The 26,362-nt window shown below is 43.9% G+C and overlaps 1 protein-coding gene and 1 pseudogene across 8 annotated transcripts in view, besides 2 other annotated features; one reads left to right on the top strand and one right to left on the bottom strand.

Annotated features, from left to right (window-relative positions):
* GRAMD1B (GRAM domain containing 1B) overlaps nucleotides 1-7,011 on the bottom strand; it is a 269,346-nt gene extending 262,335 nt beyond the window's left edge. For all 8 annotated transcript variants that reach the window (NM_001367421.2, NM_001367420.2, NM_001367419.2 and 5 more), the window contains exon 1: nucleotides 6,634-7,011. Coding sequence is in view for 5 of the 8 variants with exons in the window: in NM_001367420.2 (NP_001354349.1) it covers nucleotides 6,634-6,659 (26 nt within the window). In the remaining 3 variants the exon portion in view is untranslated. The remainder of the gene's footprint in view (nucleotides 1-6,633) is intronic.
* Nucleotides 6,797-6,906: a silencer, noted in NCBI's record as "silent region_4014". NCBI's record gives its function as "represses an Ori minimal core promoter by ATAC-STARR-seq in GM12878 lymphoblastoid cells {active_cell/tissue: GM12878}" and the evidence as "EXISTENCE:reporter gene assay evidence [ECO:0000049][PMID:35858748]".
* Nucleotides 7,107-7,336: an enhancer, noted in NCBI's record as "active region_5677". NCBI's record gives its function as "activates an Ori minimal core promoter by ATAC-STARR-seq in GM12878 lymphoblastoid cells {active_cell/tissue: GM12878}" and the evidence as "EXISTENCE:reporter gene assay evidence [ECO:0000049][PMID:35858748]".
* Nucleotides 24,719-25,259, top strand: PHB1P17 (PHB1 pseudogene 17; annotated as a pseudogene).

Raw genomic sequence — 26,362 nt, 5'->3', positions numbered from 1 at the left:
TAAAAATACAAAAATTAGCTGGGCATGGTGGCACGTGCCTGTAATCCCAGCTCCTGGGGAGACTGAGGCAGGAGAATCTCTTGAACCCAGGAGGCAGAAATTGCAGTGAGCTGAGATTGCGCCACTGCACTCCAGCCTGGGCAACGGTGTGAGACGCTGTTAAAAAAAAAAAGAAGAAAAGAAAGAAAGAAAATGTAGGGTAGAATCTACAAGGAAAGCATGGTGTGGAAAATCATAGTTTAAAAATAGAACATTGGTTTGCCACTTATTGTCAATGTGATTTGGGGCATCCTGTCTCTAGGCCTCAATTTCTGCAACTATAACATGGGTAATAATAATTCCTTATGCAAAATATTTTTATGACAATTAAATAAAACAACAGAATAGCGCTGTAAGCAATAAGTCATGATACAAATGACATTTTAGTAGCAATAAAATAAGAATAATGAAGAGTTCAAAGGTGATTTTTTTTATCGGCCATTCTCATGACAGGGTTAACCATGCCATTCTCACTAGGAAAAATGAAAGACTTTGTATAAATTCTCTATTTCCAAACAAGTTGAGAAACTCATTTTGCAAATTTTTTTTTTGAAAAACTGGAGCCTGAAGAGGTTCAGGGCCCAAGTAGAGGAGCCTGGGGAAAACACATGCCAAAGCAGCAAAGGAGACAGTCACGTTCAGCTTGTAGGGCTGCCACTGAGAAACATTTCAACTCTGGAGCATGGCTGAGCAGAGAGACCTGAAAGATGGAGCCTTGTATCTGGGAAGCCATACTCTGAAAATGACATAGTAAAGGAAGTTCTGACCTGAGTTTATCTTATTCCTCTTCTTCCTCAACGTGCATAAAAACATTCCTTCGCTTCAAAGCTATGCCAGATGAACTGTCTTAATCAGATAGGCAAGAACAAAGAATGGTGAGAGAAAATGCACACGGATGCCTAATTAGAGGAGGAAAAGGATAGCGGCTTCTGTCTTCCCCTTAATAGACTGTCAATCCTGCCTTTCCTCAGGTCTTTGAACGCACACTCAGATGGCTCATGCCGATGCTCTCAATCGCTCCCTGCGTCAGAGACGAAGATACCTTTTTATAGTCACTGCAGGGAATAGTCTCTGGCTAGTAAGCCTGTTTCATTTCAGAGGGAAAAATCAGCCACTACAAGGCTAGCTGGTAGGAAGAAGCGCTCCTTTCCGAGTCCAACTGTTCCACCCATCGCTCCCTTTGAAGTCAGGCTGACTCAACATCACTCTTTATTGCTATCTAGTCTAGGTACTGAACTTGTAAAAACAGCATTTTAAAGGTTAATAGCTGGGGAATTATATAACCCTTCAATATATAAGGAAAAAGAGCCCATAAATACCCTGTTAAACACAAACACGTGCATGGCAGTGAGAAGCCTTCTGAACAGTCTCACATTTTTACATCCACCCAACCAACCATGTCCGATTGATTGGCCCCCTTAACATGCATTGTTGGTTTTTGTTTTTGTTTTCCTTCAAAAGGATGGTTATGTGCAAACGGGCATGCATTTAATTGCTACTAAATCTTCTGGGACTTAAGGAAGTAAGTCCGTGTCTAAGCCAATAAAATATCATCTGCTTTGTGTTCTCACCAAGTACTAGATGTGCATCATTATGCCAGCTGCCTAAGCACTGTCCCGTCAGCAAAGTACACACCAGCTTCCCTAACCAGGCCAACAAATAGAGTGAGCACCCAAATTCTAAGCAAGGCTTCCACTCAGGGCAAGTTCAGCCAAAGTGAGCCATTTTTAGCCGCCAATGAGATCTCCAAGGAGAACTGAACCATGAGGGCTCACAAAGTCTGGAACCAAACCCAGTGCCAAAAAAAAACAAACAAAAAAAAAGTATGAGAGAGAGTATGAGAGGGGAAATGCTAAGCTCCACCAGAATTCAGTTAACTGGGGTTCTTCCTACTAACAAGCCCAAAAGCCAGAGAACAAGGTTCCTTTCTGACTTCTGCCCACCCTCATCAAAACAGTTCTTTACAGGCGGTTATCAAAGCCCAGGCTTCATGTCTGCCACTCTCTTGAGGATACCTTCTTATCTGATTAAATAGAATATTATGCTAAATATTCAGCCACCCCAGCACTGGTTGTGTGGGTGTGCTGGATAAAATCTTCATGAAAACGCCATCACGGGGTCATTTGTTTAATTTCCATTCTGCAAAATATAAAAATAGAATGAGCTGCCGTGAGGGGTTGAGGCTTGACAGCTTCAATGAGAAGCCTCCAAAGCACAAAAACCACGCTGTTCTGCTGGCTCGCTTGCATTCTCCCTCTGCCAGAGGAAAACGGGGAAGAGAAAAAACCTGAAAGCAAGGTGCTGCTTTCACTTATCTTCTGCTCTTTTCCCCTCTTTGGCCTTTTCTTGCGTTTGCTCGCTGCATCTTCCTCTTGTTCCATCTGTTTCCTCTCCCTCCTCCTCTTTGGCTTGCTTCCTCTCTCCGCCACCCTACCCTCCCCTCCCTCATCATTTCTATGTGTCATTTCTCTTTCTCTCCTTCCCAGGGACTGGTTCTCCTCCCATGCTTCCAGCACCCTCACCAGGGCTGCCCTTGCCTTCCGGGGCAGCCTGTATCTCCAGGTTCGGTGGATCTCACAAACTTTTCTAGGAATTGCTCTCTTCCATCCCTGCCTCTCCCCCTATCCCCTACCCCTTCCCCAAGTCCCAGACATGGAACATATCTAGAAAGATGGGATTTCAGAGTTCAATTAGATTGGATGGCAGATGAGCTGCAAAGATGGCCTTTTTATACTTCCTCATCTAGATTAATATGTTTACTATCCATTGAGCTCAGCAACTCATGGGGTGGGAGAGTAGGTAGGTAGTACATCACTGGTCTTGTGTTTTTGTATAAATCAATTTTTATTTTTATGAAGCTTTTTTAAAAAAATAAATGCAAGTTGCACTCTCCAATTCTGACCCCTGAAGTCCATGGCCACCCCCAAATTAACCCTGTTGCAAGCTTGGCTCAGAAGGGAAAAACTTCTCTTTTACCAGAAGATCCAGAGTTGCACCAAGAGCCCATGAGGGTGCTGACAGGAGAAAGATACTTCCTGTTTTATGCCCATTAGGATCTCAAAAAGGTCTCACCATTTGACCTAGTTTCAAGCCAAAGGATTCAGAGAGTTTTAAGCCAGTTAGAATGGCTGATGAAACCAACACAGTTTAGCTCATTCTGTATGCCTGGTATATGCCTAGAATGGGTTATTCACCTGTGATGCTCATGAACAACTAGAGATATTCCTCTCCCCTACTGTGGATCACCAGCAACTTTCTGAAGACAACATTGCTGTTGGTTTAAGGAACACCTAAGAGGAAAGATGGTTAACAGACCACTATGTCACAAATTCATCAACGTCAACCCATTCCAGAAAAGTATTTAAATATCTTATAGATCTGTGTATGAGGCTGCTGCCAAGTGGTCCACCAACTAATAAATTCTATTCTCATGCCTACCAAATGAGGCTTTAATAAATTAAGGTGACCCTCATAAGACCATGTGCCTACTTACCATCCCGTTTCCTAAGATACTTTCTCTCTCTCTTTCTCTTTCTCTGCAGTAACACTGTTGCCACTCCTCCTGCCTGTTATTGGCAACGTCCATTCATTATGCAGATGTGCAATGCAGACCCACCAGGTATGAAGCAGAGCAGATACTGGAGTACACCTTGGAAGTCAGAGTCTGTATACACCACAATAAAGGGTATATGGAACTCTTACAGCTAAAATATATGTGCAGTGTTTCTGGTTTGTACATATCGGGGCACTGGATCAAATCAAGGAATGAAGGCTTTTATTACCATTTGAAGAATGACCGTGCCTAGACAGGAAAAGAAATGTGTTTCCTGATGCACCAGTCCACAGTTGCAAGACGGAGAAAGGAGAAGAAGAAAGTAAAAATCTTGATCAAGCTGAAAGATCCATGAAAAGTAAGAGTATGAAGTGCAGCAGACACCCCAGGAGAAAGTGACCTCTTCTGCAGGGCAAGCAGAATGGGTGACAATTCCTAGCAGTGTTGTAAACAGCAGCCCAAAGACACAAACACTGAAAACTACATGCCACCTGTGCAAAAGCAGCCGACAGTTGGAGCAGCACAGTGGAAACACCTCTGGAGTGCAGCTGCAGACCTAGGGCTGGTGATTTCAGTGACAAGCATACATATTACAGATGTGTGTATTGAGAGGGCCCACCAGTGAGCTAATCTGCAAGGACATCAAATGACTACTATGGTGGAAAAGCAAAGGCTGGAAGGAGATGGCAGGGACAAATGCCATCTCCTTAGAAGGATGTGATTTCAGCCAGGCGCAGTGGCTCACGCCTGTAATCCCAGCACTTTGGGAGGCTGAGGTGGGTGGATCACAAGGTCAGGAGTTCGAGACCAGCCTGGCCAACATGGTGAAACCCCATCTCTAGTAAAAATACAAAAAATTAGCTGAGCATGGTGGTGGGCGCCTGTAATCCCAGCTACTCGGGAGGCTGAGGCAGGAGAATCACTTGAAACCGGAAGGCGGAGGTTGCAGTGAGCCCAGATTGCACCACTGCACTCCAGTCTGCACAATAAGAGCGAAACTCCATGGAAGGAAGGAAGGAAGGAAGGAAGGAAGGAAGGAAGGAAGGAAGGAAGGAAGGAAGGAAGGAAGGAAAGAAGGAAGGAAGGAAGGAAAGAAGGAAGGAAAGAATGTGATTTCATTTCAGGCCTATGATCATTGAACACAGCTGATCAGGCAACCAAATAGGGCACTCACTTTTTGTGACAATGTCAAATTGGCACCCCAGCTTGGCTAGGTATTGATCAGTTGCTCATAATGGTTTCCTTCCAACACTATCACCAAAGCACAGCCCCAAATCTCCAAAACCAAACAGCTTTTGAGCACGGACGGAAAAAACTAAAACTACCACACGCCCTTTTGAGACCTGGATCTCTTGAACACCAGTGACGCCCAGCAGAACTCTTCATCCAAATTGCAAGGTGAGGATGAGATCTCCTAAGCAAGTTACAAATAAATACGCCAAAGGAAAGAGCCTTCGGGCAAACACTAGAAACCTCGCTGTACACCATCAAAGGCAACTAAAGCTCTAAGCTGCAGTGAAGGTCCCATAAATAGGAACATTCAGTACAAGCAAGAGACATGATCTTCAAGTAAGGAACAAAGGCAGGAGGCATAGTTGAATAGAGGGAATAAGAGTTACATGTCTACACTTTCCTATCTAACCTCCTAAATATTATTAAATGAAAGAGAGAAGAGAGAGAGATCGGTGTGTGTTACACTGGGAAGCAGGAGTGCCTCTCTTTGACTGTATCTGTTCCACAGTGAGATTCTATATCAGCTTAGGAGTATAGTGGGACCTTGGGGTAGTGTGTAGAAATGTAGCATTTTCAGCCTATTTCTACTATTCAGTTTCCTGAACTCCAAGAGAGAGCCCCAGCTGAGATCCGCCCCTCCCCAAAAGTTCCCAGGAGAAGGGCTCCTCATCCATAAAACACTAAAAATACTATTTGTATCTCCAAAAGGTGATGTACCCATGTAGGCGTTGGCAGAGGAGAAAGCTCAGCCCCCTGCACAAATTTCTTTGTCCTTGCCCAGAGTAGTGGGAGTTTTACATCTGCTGCTGTCATGAAACATTTTATTATTTTTTACAAGCCTTTTTAAAAATTATTATTTCCTAGGAGGAAAAAAAATCTAGAGATTTGCCAAGCGTTCGCGATATGTACAATCCTCCCACCCTACCCCTCTTCAATACTGGGCCTTGGGTGGAGTTGTCCTTCACAATTGCTCCAGGCCCACTAGAAACTAAAGCTTGGGGGCAGCAAGCAGCTGTTTGTTCATGTTACCTTGGCGCCTGCATATCCTGCTGAGGAACTTTTTGAGGAATGAAGTTTATCCAGGCATGAGGTTGGCTGATGGGTGCAAACAAGTTGTTTGGGCTCTAAAAACTTCATTCTAATGACCACACCTTCTCATTCCTTCATCTACTCCACAAGAGTAACTCTATTTCCTCTGGGATGGAACCTCTCACTTCCACCCTCAGAGGAAACGAGAAGCAGAGCCTCTTCCTCGTCTCCCTAGGTACCCCCATGATGTACACTTTGTCTTTTTGCCAAATCTCGGACTTCTACCATGCAAGCAGAATAGGCGTAAGACTGATGGGGCAGCCAGGTAGGGAGATGGCAGCACTGCCCAGAACAAGGGAAGCCAGTGCTTCCAGTTCAAACTTTTGCCAGCAAGATAGAGAGGAGGAGAGGCAATCTCCATGCTCAACCAACCCTGTCCTCTCTACCTGTTCTGTGCACGTCTCCAGTACTGAATGGAGAAGGAAGCCAGCTCCGCCACCTCCAGAAATTCATGGAGGAGATAATCTATCTATCTCAGTGGTTTCCTGGGGACACAAACTCTCAGGTGAGGGACACCTCAGCCAAACCATAATCCATGTTAATAGCTTTACCTGGCCCTCAGGTAACTTTGATGTTTCACTAAGAAAATTCCGATGTAACAGCACCCCTACCCCCCACTCCAGTGTTTCCACAGCCTCCAGTTTCACCCGGATCCCTCACCATCACTCGGCATCCATGTGTGTTCCTCCTAGGGCTCAGGAAGGTCAGGAAGTTCTTACCTGGATCTGCTGGGAGAGGCACTCATGTGGACACCCGGTTCGGGCGCGCGGCGGTCAGCGGCGTCCACGGCACACCAGCTGCTGGCTACTGCTCACCACGTCTCCCCGCGAGCCTGGCTTTGCAAAGAGGAGAGCCAGTCCCATCTGGAGGAGGGGAGGAGGAGCGCGGAGCCTGAGGACACCCAAACCCGAGCGGCGGGGTCGTGCTGGAGCCCGGCTCCACGCACTCGCGCTGCGCCCGGGCGCGCTGCACCCTCGGAGCCGGGACGGCCGGCTGCGCCCAGGCGGGGCGGGAGCCGCTGGGGCGGGAGGAAGCGGAACTCCCCCGCTCTCCGTGGGCTCGGAGCTCCCACTGTCTCCGAGGCTAGGTGTCACCGCACCGTGTTCCCTCTTTCTCTCTGTACACTAATATTGGCCCCTCCCTGTGCATCTACGTTTCTTCAGTGTCGGCCCTGACTCTACCTCTGTGGTTTCCGCTCCTGTCTCCCGCTCGCCGGTCTTGGTCCCTCTCTCTCCCCTTTCATTCCCCCTCTCTCCTCTCTCCGTCTCTCTCCTCCCCTCACCCTCCCTCTCTGGGTGAAGCCTGCAGCCTGGATTCTCCCGGTATTGCCTCGCTCCAACATTTAGCACTGCAGTGTAACTCGGGGACATACAACCAGACAGTTTCTTTAAAATCAACCTTTAAAATCAGACCATCAAGTTTAGTGCGGAAACCAACGCCAGAAGCGCCGCTGCCTTGCAGCTAGGAGGAGACATTAGCCCATCTGGAAACCAGATTACCGTGTTCCACGGGAAGGTATGGAAAGGGTGTAAGAAGGCAAATGGCAGAGATTAGCAGGAGTGCATAGGTGACCCGGAGGATCTTCACGATGGGGAAGCATCTGGAATGGACTGGACAGTGTTGAAAGCATGGCACTGCAGAACAGGAGGACACCGAGGAGTCATCAGGTTCAAAGCGCTCATTTTGCAGATGAGAAAACTGAAGCTCAGAGAGGTCCATTGGCTGCCCAGGATCACACAGCTAGCTAGGGAAGCAGAGACTTGAGTTACCCCACTGCCAGGGGGCACCCAAGTTCCCAAACCTGGAAAAGAACACGTTTACCTGGGACTGGGTGTTGGGTGGCCCGGGAGGTAGGGTTGTCAGTATAATTTATGCCAAGGGCATCCATGTCTCTGGGAGGTTTCCTGAGCCCATGATGAAAACGCGATCAGCTTATTTATAAGTTCACACCCCACTCTCAGCAGAACCACTTCTAAGCTCTCTCTTCTTCTAGGAAGACCATGAAGAATGAAAACCACCAGAGGTGCCACAGTGCTGATTTTGTTGGCGACCATTCTGAAAACTTGAAAGGGTGAAATGAGAAATCCTTCTTCATTGCTTTCTCCTAGAGACCCAGCTAACAAGATCTGCTTTATAAAACCCCCATTTTCCACTTATTATTTTCCATCCTCCTCTCCATCTTTCATGTCATTCTAACCACTCTCTGACACAGATATTTTTATATTACCCACAAAAGAGACACATTTTCCCCCATTTGCTTCTCACACCTACACTAAAATACTACCTGGTGGTGTCAGCTTATAAATCAAAAGATATTTCTCACTGGAAGACTGCCGAGGGGGTGGTAGCATTAATTTTCCTTTCCCAGAAGATGTTATTATCTCTGGCAGAGTCTTCTCCCTCCCAAATGCCCTTCCCTCGGGCATTCACTGGACTCCTCTGGAACTGCTTCTCAGGGCACCCTCTCTCCAGCTCCTTCGCACTAGGTGATTTCCAATATTTTCCATGCACTCATACACTCTTTTGGGAAGTCGTGATAACCTATTCCACAATTATGTGCACTCAGGTAACTCAGAGAATAATGAAATCTCCCTTGCAGTTATACTATTAATCAAGAAGAGTTCTTAGTCAAATTGTGGCCTTTGAGAAGCAGATTGCCGACTAAGAATTTGAACTCCGGGGCTGAAAATGAGAATGTTGGCCTGTATCATCTCCAGGCCTCCTAGCTCCCTGAATCTATGATGATGACTGAATCTACAAGACATGATGAAAAATTAAAACACATGGAAAACACGACCGGGCATGGTGACTCACACCTGTAATCCCAGCACTCAGGGAGGCCAAGGCGGGCAGATCACTTGAGGCCAGGAGTTCAAGACCTGCCTGGTCAAAATGGCGAAACCCTGTCTCAACTTAAAATACAAAAACTAGCCGGGCTTAGTGGCATGCACCTGTGGCCCAGCTACTCTGGAGGTTGAGGCACGAGAATCGCTTGAACCTGGGAGGCGAAGATTGCAGTGAGCTGAGATTGCGCCACTGCATTCCAGCCTGGGCAACAGAGTGAGACTCTGTCTTGAAAAAAAACAAAAACAAACCACATGGAGAACACATTCCTAGATTCTGGGACTTTAAAATTAAAACACCAATGGTCTATTAGTTCCAACCTCTTGATCTCCAATTACCACGAGTGTGATTCTGAGCAAGTTTTAAACTTTTTTAAGCTTCATAGGGTTGCAAAGATTAACATAACATCCATAAATTTTCTGGTACATAGTAAGTGGTGAATAAAAATGTTAAATTACTTTCCTTCTTTCTTTCTTTCTTTTTTTTTTTTTTTTTTTTTGAGACTGAGTCTTGCTCTGTTGCCCAGGCTAGAGTCCAGTGGTGCAATCTCAGCTCACTGCAGCCTCTGCCCCACGGGTTCCGGCGGTTCTCCTGCCTCAACCTCCTGGGTAGCTGGGATTACAGGTGCACACCACCACGCCTGGCTAATTTTTGTATTTTTAGTAGAGACAGGGTTTCGCTATGTTGACCGGGATGATCTTGAACTCCTGACCTCAGGTGATCCGCCTGCCTCGGCCTCCCAAAGTGCTGAGATTACAGGTGTGAACTACCACACCTGGCCTTTCCTTCTCTTTCTAAACTGCTCAAAATTGATCTCTACCTGGAAGCATTCCAACTACATCTCAATCACTCGTGGTCTCATTAATCCTTTACTTAAGATCCTTTTAAACCAGTTTGTTTCATTTAAGTGTACTTTTATCTTTTCCACATTTCCTCTTTTATTTGGCAAAAATTTATTAAACATTTATTATGTGCTGCCAGTTACTATACGCTGCTCTAACCTACATGTATTTCTTTTATCTAATTTAATATTCTAGCCAGGCACGGTGGCTCACACCCGTAATCTCAGCACTTTGGGAGGCCGAAGCAAGAGGATTGCTTGAGTCCAAGAGTTCTATGTTCACAACGCCATCTCTACAAAAAATATAAAAATTAGCCAGGCCAGGTGGTGTACACCTGTGCTCCCAGCTGCTAAAGAGCCTGAGGTAAGAGGATTGCTTGAGCCTGGACGGGTGACGCTGCAGTGAGCCATGATCATGCCACTGCACCCCAGCCTCGGATGACAGAGGGAGACCCTGTCTCAAAAAATAAAATAAAATAAAATAAAATAAAATAAAATAAAATTCCCAGAATGAGGAATGTGTTTTCTATGTTTTAATCTTTCATCATGTCATGTGGATGTAGCCATAGTCACAGACATATTGAGCTAGAAGGAGGCCTGGAGATTACACAGATCAACTTTCTCATTTTACAGCCCAAAGAGGAAAACTGATGTACACACGTCAATAAAGCTGAAATGGAGCTAGTCTTTGGCCTCCTAATCCAGTGTCCTTTGCACTATGCAAACATCTCTTGACATCTGTTCCATGGAACACTCTTTCCTTGCAATATGAATAGATGGCACTCCAATAAAGGGTTCTATGGCCAAGTGTGTTTGGGAAATAATGAGTTAAGCAAAGTAAATAAGCCATTTTTCATTGTGTTTTGTTATTTTTTTTTAATTGCAAGACTTTTCAGAGCCTTTACTGTGTTTATGGGCATCGTGAATTTCCAAGAGAGGGATATACAGTGTCTCAGCTATTAAACATTGAATCAGGAAATCCTTCCTCATAGAACATCTTGAGGAACTCATGATCTAAGACACAAATTTAGGGAACACTATTGCTACACCCTGAAAACACCAGCAACCCATGTGACTGCCCAGTCTTTGTGACCTCCACAGAGAAGACTAGTTAGTGCTAACTCATCCTAGGCATTTGGTGAGTGCTGTTTCTAGGTCTAGAAACTTACCAGGTTAATGCGTCCTTAGATCAAAGGGGAACATGTTCACCTTGGGTATGCTCTTCTCTGAGTTCTTTGCTTGGCATGAAGAAAGGGAAAGCAGTTGCTTCAGTCAATCTCCCCTGTTTGACAGACTTGGCCAAGCTGCAGAGATACAGTTCTTCTGTCCCTGCTTTTCCCTTCTGTCTCCCCAGGGCAAATTTTCAGACCACTTGGGCTGTATAGCAAGGTGGTTAAGAGCATGGGTTTTTAAGCCAAACCTTCTTAGGTATTAATCTCATCTGTATTTCTCACTAATTTTGGGATACTGGACAAGTTGCTTAACCTCTTAAGCCTCAGTTGTCTCATTTATAAAATCAGCATAATAACACTAGACAACAATATTGTCGTATATAAACCACTGGCACAGAGTTAACACCCAAAACTCTAGCAGTATTCCTAAGTGTGATAGCCGTGGTAGTAGCAGAGTAGTCACAGAGCATCATTGTCCATATGTAGCTTGGTGATACAGAGAGTTGTGCCAAACCCAAGAGCTCACAGAACCCAGAATGCAAAGTCAATCTTTCTCTTTCTTTTCTTCCTATGCAGTACTAGGCCTATTATAGTCATCCCAACAACTGCTGTGTTCCTCCAGAGCTAGGAGGAAATGAGTACTAGATACTTTGAGTAAGCTCCAAAATATCTCAGTAGTAGATACTTTTGAGCAAGCCCAGAAATGAACAAAAAAGGATATTAATTGTTCATATAATTAAAAGCTTCCTTTAATTGAGTAGCTACTAAACACCAGGCACTGTGCTAGGGGATTTACATTCATTATCTATCTATATCTATATCTACATCTATATCTAGCTATACTCCTTACAGCCACTTCAAGAGGGAGGTAACCATACCCTTATTTTGAAAATTTAGAAACAAAACCCTAAAGTTTAGAAAATTTATGAAGTGAGACATGAAATTAATCCAATGACAAAATGTAAAACTACCAGCTTCCCTGTAGTCATTTCAGCCTTAGGGGAATGTAGGCATATTGTGTACTAGAACACACTTTATGGGACATGGTGGGGGCTGGGAGTGTTTCTGTTTTTCTAGAGCAATGGTGGAACAGATGTTAATTAATGCCCAATTAAGTTAGAAATGGAACCAAGCAAATTAGTTTCTCACTTGTCTCCCCCAAGGTCCTGCTCACTGGATTCTGTGTCTGTCAGCCTAGAACATGTGAAGCTTCCAGGGCTCCCATTAGCCCACTAAAAGAAAACAGGGCATTAGGTGATCAGAGAGGACATTTTGTATCAACAGAGAAATAAAGACACAATTTTCTTCCTACCACTAGTAGGAACACGAGCATGTGGAATGAGGACAGTAAATGAATGCTTCCTATTTCCCTCTCATTCTCACCCAAAATATCCTTTTGGACCCCTCCACATGACCCTACCCTTCCTCCCCAGCAAGAAAGCCACATCTAGAGCGAAAATGTGACTCCTTCCCCGCTAAGTCACTGTAATTAGCTGCAGCTCATTCTTCCCAGTCCCTTCCCAGTGGGGTTAAGTCAAATCATCAGGTGCCCTTTGGTAGCAGCCTTAGGATTAAAAAAGGGCTGATTTTACCCACTCCAGGAGGTCAAAACCCCAACTCCTGACACAGAACACAACACTCTATTTTTGTTAAGGCGATTTGAAGAGAAACCAAGCTAGTAAGAGAGAAAAGGCAAGAGAGAAGAGCAAAAGCTTTGTTATTTCTCCCGACAAAATATAACAAGAAACATCTATAATAATAATGGCACCTGCACAGCTGAGATTGGAGAGGACAAAACCACCCAAATGTCCACATTCTCTAATCAGGGGATTCCACTGAGTTTCTCTTTCCCAGAAAGATCTGCTATGTGGGTGTGTGGATGTGTATGGATTAAGGGGTCTAGGGTTGGCAGGGGGTGGATAAAAAGCCAACATTTTAAAATAACTACTACATTTCAGATATTGTACTGAGTGCTATCAATATAAGATTTTCTATAACCCTCACAATCACCCCGTGAAGTTAGTTTAATTATCTCTACTTTATAGAAAAGACGCTGATTCTTAACAAAGGTTAAGTAACTTGCCAAAAGCCACACGATAAGTATATAATGTGATAATCGAAATCCTTTATGACATGTGAGACTCTCTACTATCTTACATTTGAATATAGCATTTCAAACACATTCTTGTTGGCTAGCAAACAATCTTTTGAGATAGATCCAACACTTTTCCCAATTTGAACAAAAGGAAGCTGAGGCTCAGAGAGGTGAAGGAAATTCATCGAGGTTAACACAGGTAGAAAATGGCAGCCCTGGTCTTGATTTCTGCCCCTCCACTGCTCTAGCAAAAGAGGTGTTTTCCAGATTTTGGAATACTGATGCCTTCATGAATCTGAAAACATAGCATTCCTTAAAGAATGCCCCTCATAAATTTCCATGACCAAGCCAGTCACCAGAAAGGGACAAAATTTAAAAAAAAAAAAAAAAAGGAAGAAAGAAAGAAAAGGCCACAGCAAGGCTAGAGAAATCCTTGAGATTTCCAGCCATTGAACAGAGCTTCCGGGAGCTAGAATCTTTCTCTCTGCCTCTCACAGACCTTCAGGCTAAATGTTCAGTTTTTCCTGTGCCAAAAAGAATAGAAAAGACATAATAATAATTATAATAATAGCATATACTTATTTAGTTCTTACAAATTTCAGACATTGTTAGAAGTGCTTTACATTTTAGTTACTCTTTTAATTGTGAGTCATGCTGTGAAGTAGGTACTATTATCATCTCCATTTTGTAGAAGAGGAAATGAAGCCCGGAGTGGTGAAGTAATTTGCCCAAGGTGAGACAGCGAGTAAGAGCAGAGTGGGGATTTAAAAGCAGTGTCTGATACCAGAGTCCAAGTGCAAAATTGCTGCTGGCTGGATGCTCTGATGAGGTCCTCTGAGTCCCAGCTTACCAGGGATCAGAGAGGCTCTGAGGTCAGCGCCCACGTCTGAGGGAGGGGTGCCCTGGGACGTCATTCTCTTCCCCAAGGCTGGCCTTTGCCTATGGACACTTGGCTACTTCACTCTGGCCCTCTCCCTGCCAGCTTCACCAGCTGCCCCTTGTCAGCCCAGCACAAAGAGAAGCCAGATTGGTTGGGGGAGGGGCGGCCATGCCTGCACTATCCCTCTTGCCAAGTAGGGGACTTCTCTTCCCCTCCTCCTTCTCCCAGGAGCTCCCATCTGGCCTGTATCACCAGCTTATTTGTGCTTCGAAAAGCCAGCTTTCAAGTGAGGGAAATGGGATTCCGTCCTATGAACCACGTCTGTTAATCCAATCAGGGGCGTTTTCCCCGATTATGGGCACCATCCAACCCTGCAGGGCCTACCGCAGGCTCTGAAAGGAGTCTCTGCCAGGAGCATGGCCACAGAGAGGGATGAGGGCACATATGATGTAGGTGTGCCCTCAAGGATTTCCAAATGGCTTCTGTCATCCTCTCTTTCCCCACTGGGTGTTGTGGCCCACTGTTGAAGAAACAGAGGCAAAAAGATACCAGCGGGGTAAGGGAGAGTGGCAGCTTGAGCTGGTGGATAAACACAAGCGAGAGCTCAGGAGATCCATGCTTTTCTTGTTCAAAGTTCACTGGAATCAAGCTGTGTGACCATGGGAAAGTTACTGCTCTTCTTTGAGTCTCACTTTTCTCATCTACAAAATAGGAGTGTTTTGTTTTGTTGTTTTGTTTTTGAGACAGAGTCTCGCTCTGTCATCCAGGTTGGAGTGCAGTGGCATGATCTCGGCTCACTGCAACCTCCACCTTCAGGGTTCAGGCAATTCTCCCGCCTCAGCCTTCTGATTAGCTGGGATTTCAGGCATGCGCCCGGCTAATTTGTGTGTGTGTGTGTTTTGTTTTTTGTTTTTTTGGAGACAGAGTCTCGCTCTGTTGCCCAGGCTGGAGTACAGTGGCATGATCTCGGCTCACTGCAACCTCCGCCTCCTGGGTTCAAGCAATTCTCCTGCCTCGGCCTCCCAAGTAGCTGGGATTACATGCACGTGCCACCATGCCCAGCTAATTTTTTGTATTTTTAGTAGAGATATGGTTTCACTGTGTTAGCCAGGATGGTCTTGATCTCCTGACCTCGTGATCCTCCCACCTCGGCTTCCCAAAGTGCTGGGATTACAGGCACGAGCCACCTTGCCCAGCCTTCTTTTTGTATTTTTAATAGAGATGGGTTTCACCATGTTGGCCAGGCTGGTCTTGAACTCCTGACCTGAAGTGATCCACCCTCCTCGGCCTCCCAAAGTGTTGGGATTATAGGTGTGAACCACCATGCCTGGCCCAATAGGAATGTTGAATTAGATGGACCCCATGAGGTTCCTTCTTTATTGTGTGAAATGGAAAGACTCCCCCAAGGTGTACTCCTCCAAGGAGGCAATTGGGACAGAGCCCAAGGTGGCAATCCATCCCCTCTGTCCCTCCCTCCAGACATTTCCTGGCATCTCTAACACACACAGGACTCCCATTCCCTAGGATTCTACCCATTGACATGACATCATGGGCACTTGTGCAGGCTGCTGTGCCAGAGTCTTTGACCCTGAAAGGGTGACTCCGACACTTCCTTTTACTCAAAACAGCAAGTGCTCAAACTCTGGGTTCTAAGAGGCATCATGTCCCAGGCTCACAGATTCTCATTCACTGCAAATCTTAGGGTTAGATCTTTCTTTTTTTTCGGACTTTGCTTTTCTCTTTTGAATAATACAAAGAAAAAAAAAACCGAATGAAACCATATGGGATGCCAGGCAATTAGCTAATAAGTTTTGCAACATGAAGTGTCTCACAAAGAAAATCTATCAGGCATCTCAACCATGTCAGACTCCATTCTTATAGGCGGTGGCTACTGAGAATAGGAGCTGGTAAGATGCTTTATTTTTAAATGGCTTTTCCAGGTCTAATTTCTCCTAGCCTGAAAGAAATGATGAGGCTAGAAAGAAATCAGGTTGGATCACGTGAAGAAAAAGTAGCATCAGGAAGCCAATATGGTGTCTTGGATTGTACCATAAATCTTCTGGGTGGGTGCTGAGTCTTGATTAGACGGCTTCATACAGCACTAAGTATAGCACCACGTGCCAACAAATAATCAATAAAGCCTTTTAGTAATGGTGGCTGATGATGAAATGCCCTGTCTTTTGTCAAAGTCCCACTGCTTATTCTCTGCCACCAGATTCTCCACCTAATGTTAGAGGCCACAGAATTGGAGCTTAGCTGCTGCAGGACATTCCAAACAAAAGATCTCAGACCCAAAAGTTAAGTCTTCTGCCGTGGATGGCGTCTATGCTTGGGGAGAGACACAGTAGCAGATAATGAGAAAGAGCCCATCCTGGCAAATGGCACATGACATCTGGAGATATTGACAGGCATTAGGAAATGATCTGAGCAGAGAGGCCCCCAAATAGAAGACCCTCTAAAGATGGAGTGCAATGACACAGGCAATGTGGGCTGTTCAGTGGGCAACAAGGAGGTCAGCAGGTGTCCAGCGTCTGGGTCCCCTCCCTGAAAGGGCAAGTGAGAACAAACAGAGATCTGGGAACTGGGTAGGTTATAAAGTCAGAACCACTTGAAGATTAGAAAGGTAAGGACCAAGGTTACATCACCAGCATGTAGCAGAGCTGAGATGCAAACTCAGGGAACCAGAGTCCATATCCTGGATACTTAACTACTTTACTCTGCTTCCTCCCAGAACTAGGCTGGGGTTACATGTTAAGGCAGTTTAGGGGCCTGAAGGGAACCCAGGAGGCCATTACAGAGTCAATCATAGACAATGTTTACTGACTGACTATAAACTATTGTGGGAAAAGCCTCTCCTGGAGGCCCTAATAGGAGATACTACAGAAACGGCAGGCAAGCAATAAGAACCAGGAAGTGGAACCCCAATTCAGTGAAGACTCCTAAGGAGAGCCTCTAGTCACTCTAAATTAGTCCAAGTGTGATGCTCAGACAATTTCATTCCAGAGTGCTGAAATTACACACCAAATGCAATCACAGACAAGTAGTCAGTAATTCTGAGAAATTATGGGCAAGTAAAGGACTGAATTCTTGAGTTCAATTGTAGTTTCCAGAAAAGCAGAGGTTGGAGAATCTCAAACAAAGCACTAGGAGAGATGATTAAATGCATAATTTAGCAAAGGAGAATCAATCCAGAGTTCCTAGGTACCAGTCACACCAACATAGATTAACTTACTCTTTGGATAGTCTTACTGTAGAAGTCAAAATACACTTTTAAAATCCTTGTGTACATCTTTCATTCACTCAACAAACATTAATGAAAAATCTGCTGTGTGGGATTGTCCTAGTCCATTTTCTATTGCTATAAGTGAATATCAGAGACTGTAATTTATAAAATAGAGAAATTGATTTCTTATGGCTCTGGAGGCTGGAAAGTCCAAGGTCAAGGGACTTCATCTGGGGAGAGTCTTCTTGCTGGTGGAGACTTTCTGCAGGGTCCTAAGGTGGCACAGGGCATCACATGGTGAGCAAGCTCATGAGAGAGAACCAAACTGGCTTTTACAACAGACCTACTCTCATGATAAGCCATTAATCCATTAATCTATGAGTAGATTAATCCATCTATGAAGGCAGAGCCATTATGACCCAATCCCTTCGTAAAGGCTCCACTTCTTAATACTGTTACATTGGGGATTAGGTCTCAATATGAGTTTTTGAGAAGATAAACCTTCCAACCATAGCAGGAATATACTAGTTGACTAGAAAATTAAAAATCTTTTCTCTCACTTAGTCTTTGGAAAAGAGTCAGAAACTCAGTATGTAAACAAAATTCCAGATAAGGTTAAGTGCTATGAAAAAAGTTAAGTATGGCAATGGGTTACAGAATGATTAAGAGTGAGGGGCTCCTTTAGCCAGGATGATAGAGAAGCTTCTTCAAAGGTATTGGAGCCAAGGCCAGGATAAGAAGAAGCCTGACATGTCGAGACCTAGGGAGAAATTGTCTCAGGAAAAAGAATGAGTAAGTGTAAAGTTCCGTATATTTGAGCAAGTTTGGCATGTTTCAGAAATTAAAAGATGGCCACCACGTCTACCCTACAGGGAGGGAAGGGGTAGAAGGGAAAGGGAGCTGGGGAAATGGGGAGCTTTGCAAGCTTTTTTGGGCTGTGGTCAGGAGTTCAGATTTTGCCCTCAGAGAAATGGGAAGTAATTGAAAAATTTAAACGGGGAATGACATGATTCAAATTCCTTTTTTAAATTTTAATTTAGCAATTTAATTTTTAAATTTTGTTTAATTTTTAATTTTCTTTAAGGGGCAAGATCTGGTTCTGTTTCCCAGGCTGGAGTGCAGTGGCACAATCATTCCTCATTGTAACCTCAAACTCCTGGGCTCAAGCTATCCTCCCAACTTAACCTCTCATGTTTTTTCATTTTTTTAACTGATAATCATAGTTATACATATTTTGGGAGTACATGGGATATTTTGATTTTGATAAAATGTGTTATAATAAAATCAGGATATCCATCACCTCAAACTCAAATTACTTTTTAAGAAGATGGCTCTGGCTGCTATGTGAACGGTTTGGAAGTAGAGCAAGGGTAGACCTAGGGAAACCAAGTGGCTTGCACAAAGGTGATCCCAGTAAAGAAGGTGCAGTGAGTCCGATTCAGGATCTATTTTGGAGAGATAGATGATACATATACTTTCTGAGTATATAATTTATTATTTGAAACAGGGTCTTGCTTTGTCACCCAGGCTAGAGTGCAGTAGCACTGTCATGGTTCACTGCAGCCTTGACTTCAGAGGCTCAAGTGATCTTCCTACCTCAGCCTCCTGAGTGGCATGCATAGGCATATGCCGCCACACTGGCTAAGTTATTTTTAATTTTTTGGAGGTGGGACGAAGTCTCACTCTGTTGGAGTGCAGTAGCGTGATCTTGGCTCACTGCAACCTCCGCCTCCTGGATTCAAGTGGTTCTCCCATATAAGCCTCCTGAGTAGCTGGGACTACAGGCACGCGCCACCACACCGGGCTAATTTTTGTATTTTTAGTACAGACGGGGTTTCACCTTGTTGACCAGGTTGGTCTCGAACTCCTGACCTCAAGAGATCTGCCTGCCTTGGCCTCCCAAAGTGCTAGGATTACAGGCATGAGCCACCACATCCAGTATATCTATACATATTTTTTTCTTTTTTTAATGAGCCCAGAGCACTCATTAAATTCCCTGGAGCTGAATTCTAAAGGAGCAATACTAGAGCTTTGTCCTTGGCCTTTTCTTATTTGTTAATATCATGCACCTCCTTTCAGGGCTTATGACTGTCTTAGTCATTTCAGAGAACATTTTGGAAGTAGAGCAAACTATTAAAGTTACTGTTGTAACAAAATACCATAAAGTAGGCATCTTACAAACAATAAAAATTTATTTCTCACAATTCTGGAGGCTAAGTCCAAGGTCAAAGCACCAGCCCATTCATTGTCTGGTGAGGGTCTGCTTCCTGGTTCAGAGATGGCACCTTTTCACTTCCTCCCGTGGTAGAAGAAACAAAAGGCAGCTCTTCGGGGCCTCTTTGATAGAGGCACTAATCTCATTCATGAGGGGTCTGCCCTTACGACCTAATCACCTCCCAAAGGCCCCACCTCCTAATTACCATCACCTTGGGGGTTAGGATTTCCATATATGAATTTTGGGGGACACAGGCATTCAGATTCATAGCGATGACTTGCACAATCCCTCCTGATATCGTGTTTTCCTAATGACCATTCCAATAACAGATCTAATACGGCTCCCATGCTTGTGAACTGCCTTCTCAGGAAGCTCTCACTGGATACACACATATTTTTTGCAGCTGACTTCTAACTAGCTCTGGTCAGAGTGGTGGGGGGCTAGGAGAGTGGGCAGGCCAGTGATCACCTAGTGTGTAATGGCTGCTTGCTGCAGATGGGATTCCAGCACCAGGTGAGGATTTATGAGCCTCTGGCCTATTTCACCATGCTTATAGTCTAATTGGGTTTCTTGATCATTCCCGTGGCTTCAAAGCCACAGATTTGGTTGCCCTACTTTTTCCTGGGCTGTGTACCATTTGCACAGTATTTTGTTTTCTGCATTACCCACAAAAGTAGCAGGAATGCATGTAGATCTTTCACTAATTGTACACAGAACATTTGGCTATTACTAGGTCCCCAGTGAGGAAAGCCAGTCACTTCAGTGAGAAAAAAGGGACTGCCCAGAGGATTCTGAGGTGCTCCTTTTCTTCTTAATATGCCTGTGAAGAAGAGAAAAGAGAGTTCTAACAGGAAAATAAAAAATAAAAACTTTCATGAAGTCCAAAGATCATAGAAATAGCCAGGCTTATGGCAAGAGACAAACTTCTAGTTTTATTGAAGCACCAATTACTGAATCCATGCTAAGAACTTATTTCTCTTGCTGAGGCTCTGGCATATTTTATAACCCTCGAAGGGGCAGTTTACTCTGGAGACATAGAGTCATATAGTATAATAATCCTTGCAGACAAATGGGAGGAGACAGCCATAATAAATATCCCTGCTAAAAGAGCATAAAGGAAGTAAAAGCTTGGATCATCTCTGGAGCACCAGCTGCTTAATAATAAAGGCAATGATTGCAAAACCTTGGCAAGGTTGCAAAAACATCTTTTAGTTACAGGTGTCAAAGCCTGAGTGTCTGGCCCTTGCTTTATTACTGTCATTTAGTATGCTGTTGGTGTCTGCTCTCAGCACAGACGTTTTTTCTCTGACATCAGAAATGCAATGCTTTCTCTCTTTGAATTCCCAAAGTCTCCCAATCCCAAGGTCCATTTCCTACTCTATTTTCTCCTACCCAAGACTGCCTGGTACCTTTGCTACAGAGAGACAGGAAACTTGATTTCTAGGGAGGCTGAATAATTGTATCTGTGTTCATCGAATTATTAAGCCCTGTCCTGTATGAGGGAAATGATTATACAAATGGTAATGAAAGTAAAAATACTATCTTCTTTTTAATTCAATTGCATTTCTTGATCACAAGCCTAAAGAGTTACAAGAAGAAATGAGCTAAGTCCCTCAAGGAATTTGCTGTCTAATGAGAAGGTTGAGAAAACACAGGATTATAGAAATATGAAAGAAATATAATGGAAACAAGGGATCCTATGGGCTGCTAGGATCATGAGGCAGGAACAAATCCATCCAGCTGAGAAGAGAAAGATCACAGATGCCTTCCTGAATGAGGTGGCATTTGAGGTGAGTCTTGAGGGGTGGGGTTGAGATAAGGAGCAGTAGCAGAAGCTGGGGCCTGGATGAGACTGGAGAAATGTCTTAGTTAAAGAGACTGAGCTGGGCTGGGCACAGTGGCTCACGTCTGTAATCCCAGCACTTTGGAAGGCTTAGGCGGGTGGATCACCTGAGGTCAGGAGTTCAAGACCAGCCTGGCCAACATGGTGAAACCCTGTCTCCACTAAAAATACAAAAAATTAGCCAGGTGTGGTGGCAGGAGCCTGTAATCCCAGCTACTCGGGAGGCTGAGGCAGGAGAATCGCTTGAACCTGGGAGGCGGAGGTTGCAGTGAGTTGAGATCACGCCATTGCACTCCAGCTAGGGCAAGAAAAGCGAAACTCCATCTCACACACACACACACACAAAAAGAGAGAGAGAGACTGAGCTGTTAGGGACACCTCAGATGTCTTAGGCTCATGTCTTCCAGTGGCTATGGATGAGGAAAAAATTAATGTAATCATAAACATATTGAAATCAGGAAGGTCCTTTCTATTGGGTGAAGCTAGAAGTGTGAAATTCCAGGTGGTTGGATGAGACTGTTAAGGAAAAGAAAGCCGTGTTGTGATTCCAAGAGATCTGTTCATTTCCAGGGCTTATAGGGATTAGAATCCCATCTAGCAGGGGAGGGAGTTGGCCAGCACTAACCGCGATAAGAATCTCTGCCAGGTAGGCGAGATTTGGGACCGACACTCTAATCCTGAGGTAATTATGAGGCATTATGCAGGGTACCAGACAGACTGGAAAACTGTAAGGCCTAAGGTAAGAGTCCCATTCTGGAGCCTGAAACAAAGTGAAGAGTCCAAAGGGCTATGCCTCAGAGATATGACCCTGTCTTTTTTATTTATTTATTTTTATTTTTAAGAGATAAGGTTTTGCTATGTTGCTCAGGCTAGTCTTAAACTCTTGGCCTCAAGCAATCCTCCCACCTTGGCCTCCCAAAATACTGGGATTACATGCATAAGTCACCATGCCTGGCCTCACCTGACTTAGTTTGTTTTCTGTTGCTATAACTGAATACCTGAAATGGGATTATTTATAAAGGAAAGAAATGTATTTCTTACAGTTCTGGAGGCTAGGAAGTCCAACGTCTAGGGGCCACATCTGGTGAGAGCCTTCTTGCTGGCAGAGACTTTCTGCAGAGTCCTGAGGTAGTACAAGTCATCACAGGTCAGGCAAGCTAAGCATGTATATTAGTCCGTTCTCACATTGCTGTGAAGAGCTACCAGAGACTGGGTAATTTATAAAGAAAAGAGGTTTAATTGGCTCACAGTTCTGCAGGCTATACAAGAAGCATGGCTGGGAGGCCTCAGGAAACTTACAATTATGGCAGAAGGCAAAGGGGAAGCAAGCATATCTTTACATGGCCAGCAGGAGAGAGAGCAAAGGGGGAAGTGCTACACACTTTTAAATAACCAGATCTCATGAGAACTCACTCACTACCGTGAGAACAGCAAGCAGAAAATCCACCCCCATGACCCAATAACCTCCCCACTAGGTCCCTCCTCCAACACTGGAGATTACAATTCAACATGAGATTTAGACACAGAGCCAAACCCAATCAGCACGCTAGCTCAGGTGTCTCTTTCTTTTCTTATAAAGCTACTAATGCCCCACTCTCATGATCCCATCTAATCCTAATTACCTCCCAATGTCCCACCTCTCAAATACCATAGTTGGATTTCCCATCCTCTTAATACTGTTACAGTGGGGATTTAGTTTCAACATGAGTTTCAGAGGGGACAAATATTCAAACCACAGCACACCCCTTCCAAACTCAGCTAAATGACATCAGATACTCAAGCTGGGCATGGGGGCTCATGCCTGTAAATCCAAACATTTAGGGAAGCTAAGGTGGGAGGATAGCTTGAGGTCAAGAGTTTGAGATCAAACCTGGACAACAGAGTGAGACTCCATCTGTACAAAAATACAAAAAATAGCCAGATGTGGTGGTGTGCACCTGTATTCCCAGCTAATTAGGAAGTTTAGGCACAAGGATTGCTTAAGCCTAAGGATTTGAGGCTGTAGTGAGCTATGATCATGCCACTGTACTCCAGCCTGGGCAACAGAGCAAGACCCTAACTCAAAAGCAAAACAACAAATCAGATAGTCATGATAGTCATTTCTGTCTAGCAATATATCTTTTTTTTTCTGAAACAGTCTTGCTCTGTTGACAAGGCTGGAGTGCAGTGGTGCGATAATGGCTCACTGCAGCCTCAACCTCCTGGCCTCAAGCAATCCTACCACCTCAGCCTTCTGAGTAGCTAGGATTACAGGCACATGTCACCACACCCAGCTAATTTCTTTTTTTAGAGTCGGGGTCTCACTATGTTGCCCAGGTTGGTATCAAACTTCTGGACTCAAGTGATCCTTTTGCCTTGGCCTCCCAAAATACTGGAATTACAGATGCAAGCCACCGTGCTTGGCACAGCAATATATCTTAATGCCAAGTCTCGCCAGATGCTAAGGCTGAGCTACTGATATTTTGTCTGCCCTGAGCAAGCACTAGGCCTGCATACCTATAGGCAGTGCCTTGTGTCTGTAGCGTCAAAGATGAAAAAAGCAGGGGAAAGGGAGACAAGGTGAACCTCTTCCTCTTCTGGCAATGTCTGAGGGTGTGCTCCAAGGTGATCCAGCTACAGACAGCAAAGCCTGGTAGAATACATTATTTGAGATGTCATCAGTCTTACAAGAGGAAAGAGATATGCTGCAAAATTAAACAAAAAAGAAAAAGATAAAGAGAAAATGAGAGGTCAATCCTGATCTACCAGAGGATGAATGTTGGTTGCAGCAGTGCCGCCAGAACACTGAGTTTGGGGCCAATCTCAAGGTAAGAGAGATTTGGGATTCCACCATGAACTGAGACCCTCAAAGGAGAGCAGGGAGAATATAAAGGTGGGGACAAGGTCAATGATGCATTGACATAGTCCTAGATTGGTGGCACCTCCTCCTTACTATCAAAAGCAGGAGCAAATCTCTGCAGGAAAACTTCTCCAATCCTTAATTTAAACGCTCAGATTTTTCACCTGCTATGGCAAACAATGAGCTCACAACATCACTAAACATAAAATGAAAGCTACTATTACTGAGAACTGGCAAAAATAATGGACAATGAATTTAGAATCCTGTGGATTACAGATATGAGATCTGTCAGATATAGAATATAGAACAGCTGTGCCAACACAGGATTATCTAATCCATAAATGACTTTGGGGAGTGAAAAGATAAATTTGTGGGAAAAAATGGAACAATAAGAACTAAAAATTTTAATTATTGATATAAAAATATTGAGTTAATTAACAGGTTAGACACAGCTGAAGACAGAATTAATGATTTGGCAGACATCCCTGAAGAAATGACCAAAAGTGCAATACTGAGAAAAGAATGGAAAATATGAAACAAACATTAATAGATTTGGAAGGTCTAATATACACCTATTCAGAGTATCAGAAAGAGAGAGTAGAGGAAATGGAGAAGTAACACTTAAAGTGATATTGGCTGCAAATTTTTCCAACTTATGAAAAATATGGATCACAGGTCCAGGAAGAATAGCATATCCCCAGTGGGTAAATATTTTAAAGTCCATGCAGAATATCAAAGACAAAAGGAAGTTCTTAGCATCATCCAGAGAATGAATGGAGCTGGGGGATCCATGCAGAAGTCAGCATGAAGGCAGGTACAAATGGGCCAAGAGATGAGGTCCAGCAAACTAACATGGCTGCCAAAGTGCTTAAGTGTATTGGCAAGTTTAGCCTGGCCTTAGAATTTGGCAGAAATAGCAAATGTGAATGCTCTGTCTTTAAAGCCCAGGATATTGTAGTAGGCATTTTCTTACCTCTTGGGTACAGAAAACAATGATCTTTGACTGCTAGATGGCATGAGATTCATCGCTGGAAATAAAAATGTATAGATTGTCAATGTCCTATGTTGCATCCTTTTCCATCCAGTTGTCAGACTACTTCCCCATATCTTCATCGGCAACAGAGAGGACTGTGACAAGCGTGGGCTGCCATTCATCGCTATGGAGATCCTCAAGTGAGTAATGGCTCACTTTGACATCAGAGATAGAGAGCTGGTCTCCAGACAGGTGAGCAATGCCCTATCCAACATGTCCTTGACACGTCTGACCTTTGGGGAGGAGTTCTTGGAAGCAGTAAAATCCAAACAAAGCTCAGCAGGAAGCAGGGAAGGCCAGATTTGTGATAGAAAAGTCACAGCAACAAAACAAGGCAGGCATCACATCTAGCAAGGGCAAAGCACACACAAAAAAAGTGAATGTATCTATCATCGTCAAAAGTTTTCTTGAGACTTTTTGTAATCTTTTCTCCCCACCCTTCTCCACTCTCCCTCCAAAACCATCCTCAGGCATCCACTGATCTGCTTATGTTGCTATAGGTTAACTTTCATTTTCTAGAAATTTGTATAAAAATAATAGCATAGTATAGTATTCACTGTTATTTTGGTCTGGCTTCTTTTTTTTTTTTTTGGTCTGACAAAAAAATGTCTTTACGTTTCTTTTTTTACAACTTATTTTAGAATCGGGGATACACATGCAGGTTTGTTACCTAGGTATATTGCATAATGCTGAAATTTGGGGTACAAATGATCTCATCATGTGGGTATTGAGCGTAGTACCCAATAGCTAGTTTTTCAAACTTTACCCTCCTCCCTCCTCCCTCTAGTAGTTCCCAGTTTCTATTGTTACCACTTTTACGCCGTGAATACCCAATGTTTAGCTCCCACTTATAAACGAAAACATGCAATATTTGGTTTTCTGTTCTTGAGTTAATTTGCTTAGGGTAATGACCTTCAGCTGCATCCATGTTGATGCAAAGAGCATGATTTTGTTCTTTTTCATAGGTGCATAGTATTCCATGGTGTATATGTACCACATTTTCTTTATCAAATCAACAATTGATAGGTACCTGGGTTAATTCCATGTCTTTGCTATTGTAAATAGTGCTGTGATTAACATGCATGTGTCTTTTTGGTGGAATAATTTGTTTTCTTTTGGATATTTATCTAGTAATCAGATTGCTGGGTCAAATAGTAGTTCTGTTTTAAGTTCCTTGAGAAATCTCCAAACTGCTTCCCAGAAGGGGTGAACTAATTTGCATTCCCACCAACAGTGTATAAAGGTTCCCTTTCCTCCATAGCCTTGTAAGCATCTGTTGTTTTCTGACTTTTTAGTAATAGCCATTCTGACTGGTGTGAGATGGTATCTCATGGTGGTTTCGATTTGCGTATCTCTGATGAATACTGGTGTGGAGCATTTGTTCGTATGTTTGTTGGTCACTTGTATGCCTTCTTTTGAGAATTGTCTGTTTATCGGCCGACTTCTTTCATTTAGCGTAATTG

The sequence above is a fragment of the Homo sapiens genome, chromosome 11, assembly GCF_000001405.40.
Source record: "Homo sapiens chromosome 11, GRCh38.p14 Primary Assembly".
NCBI lineage: Eukaryota > Metazoa > Chordata > Mammalia > Primates > Hominidae > Homo > Homo sapiens.
This window is presented reverse-complemented; position numbering and strand designations above follow the sequence as displayed.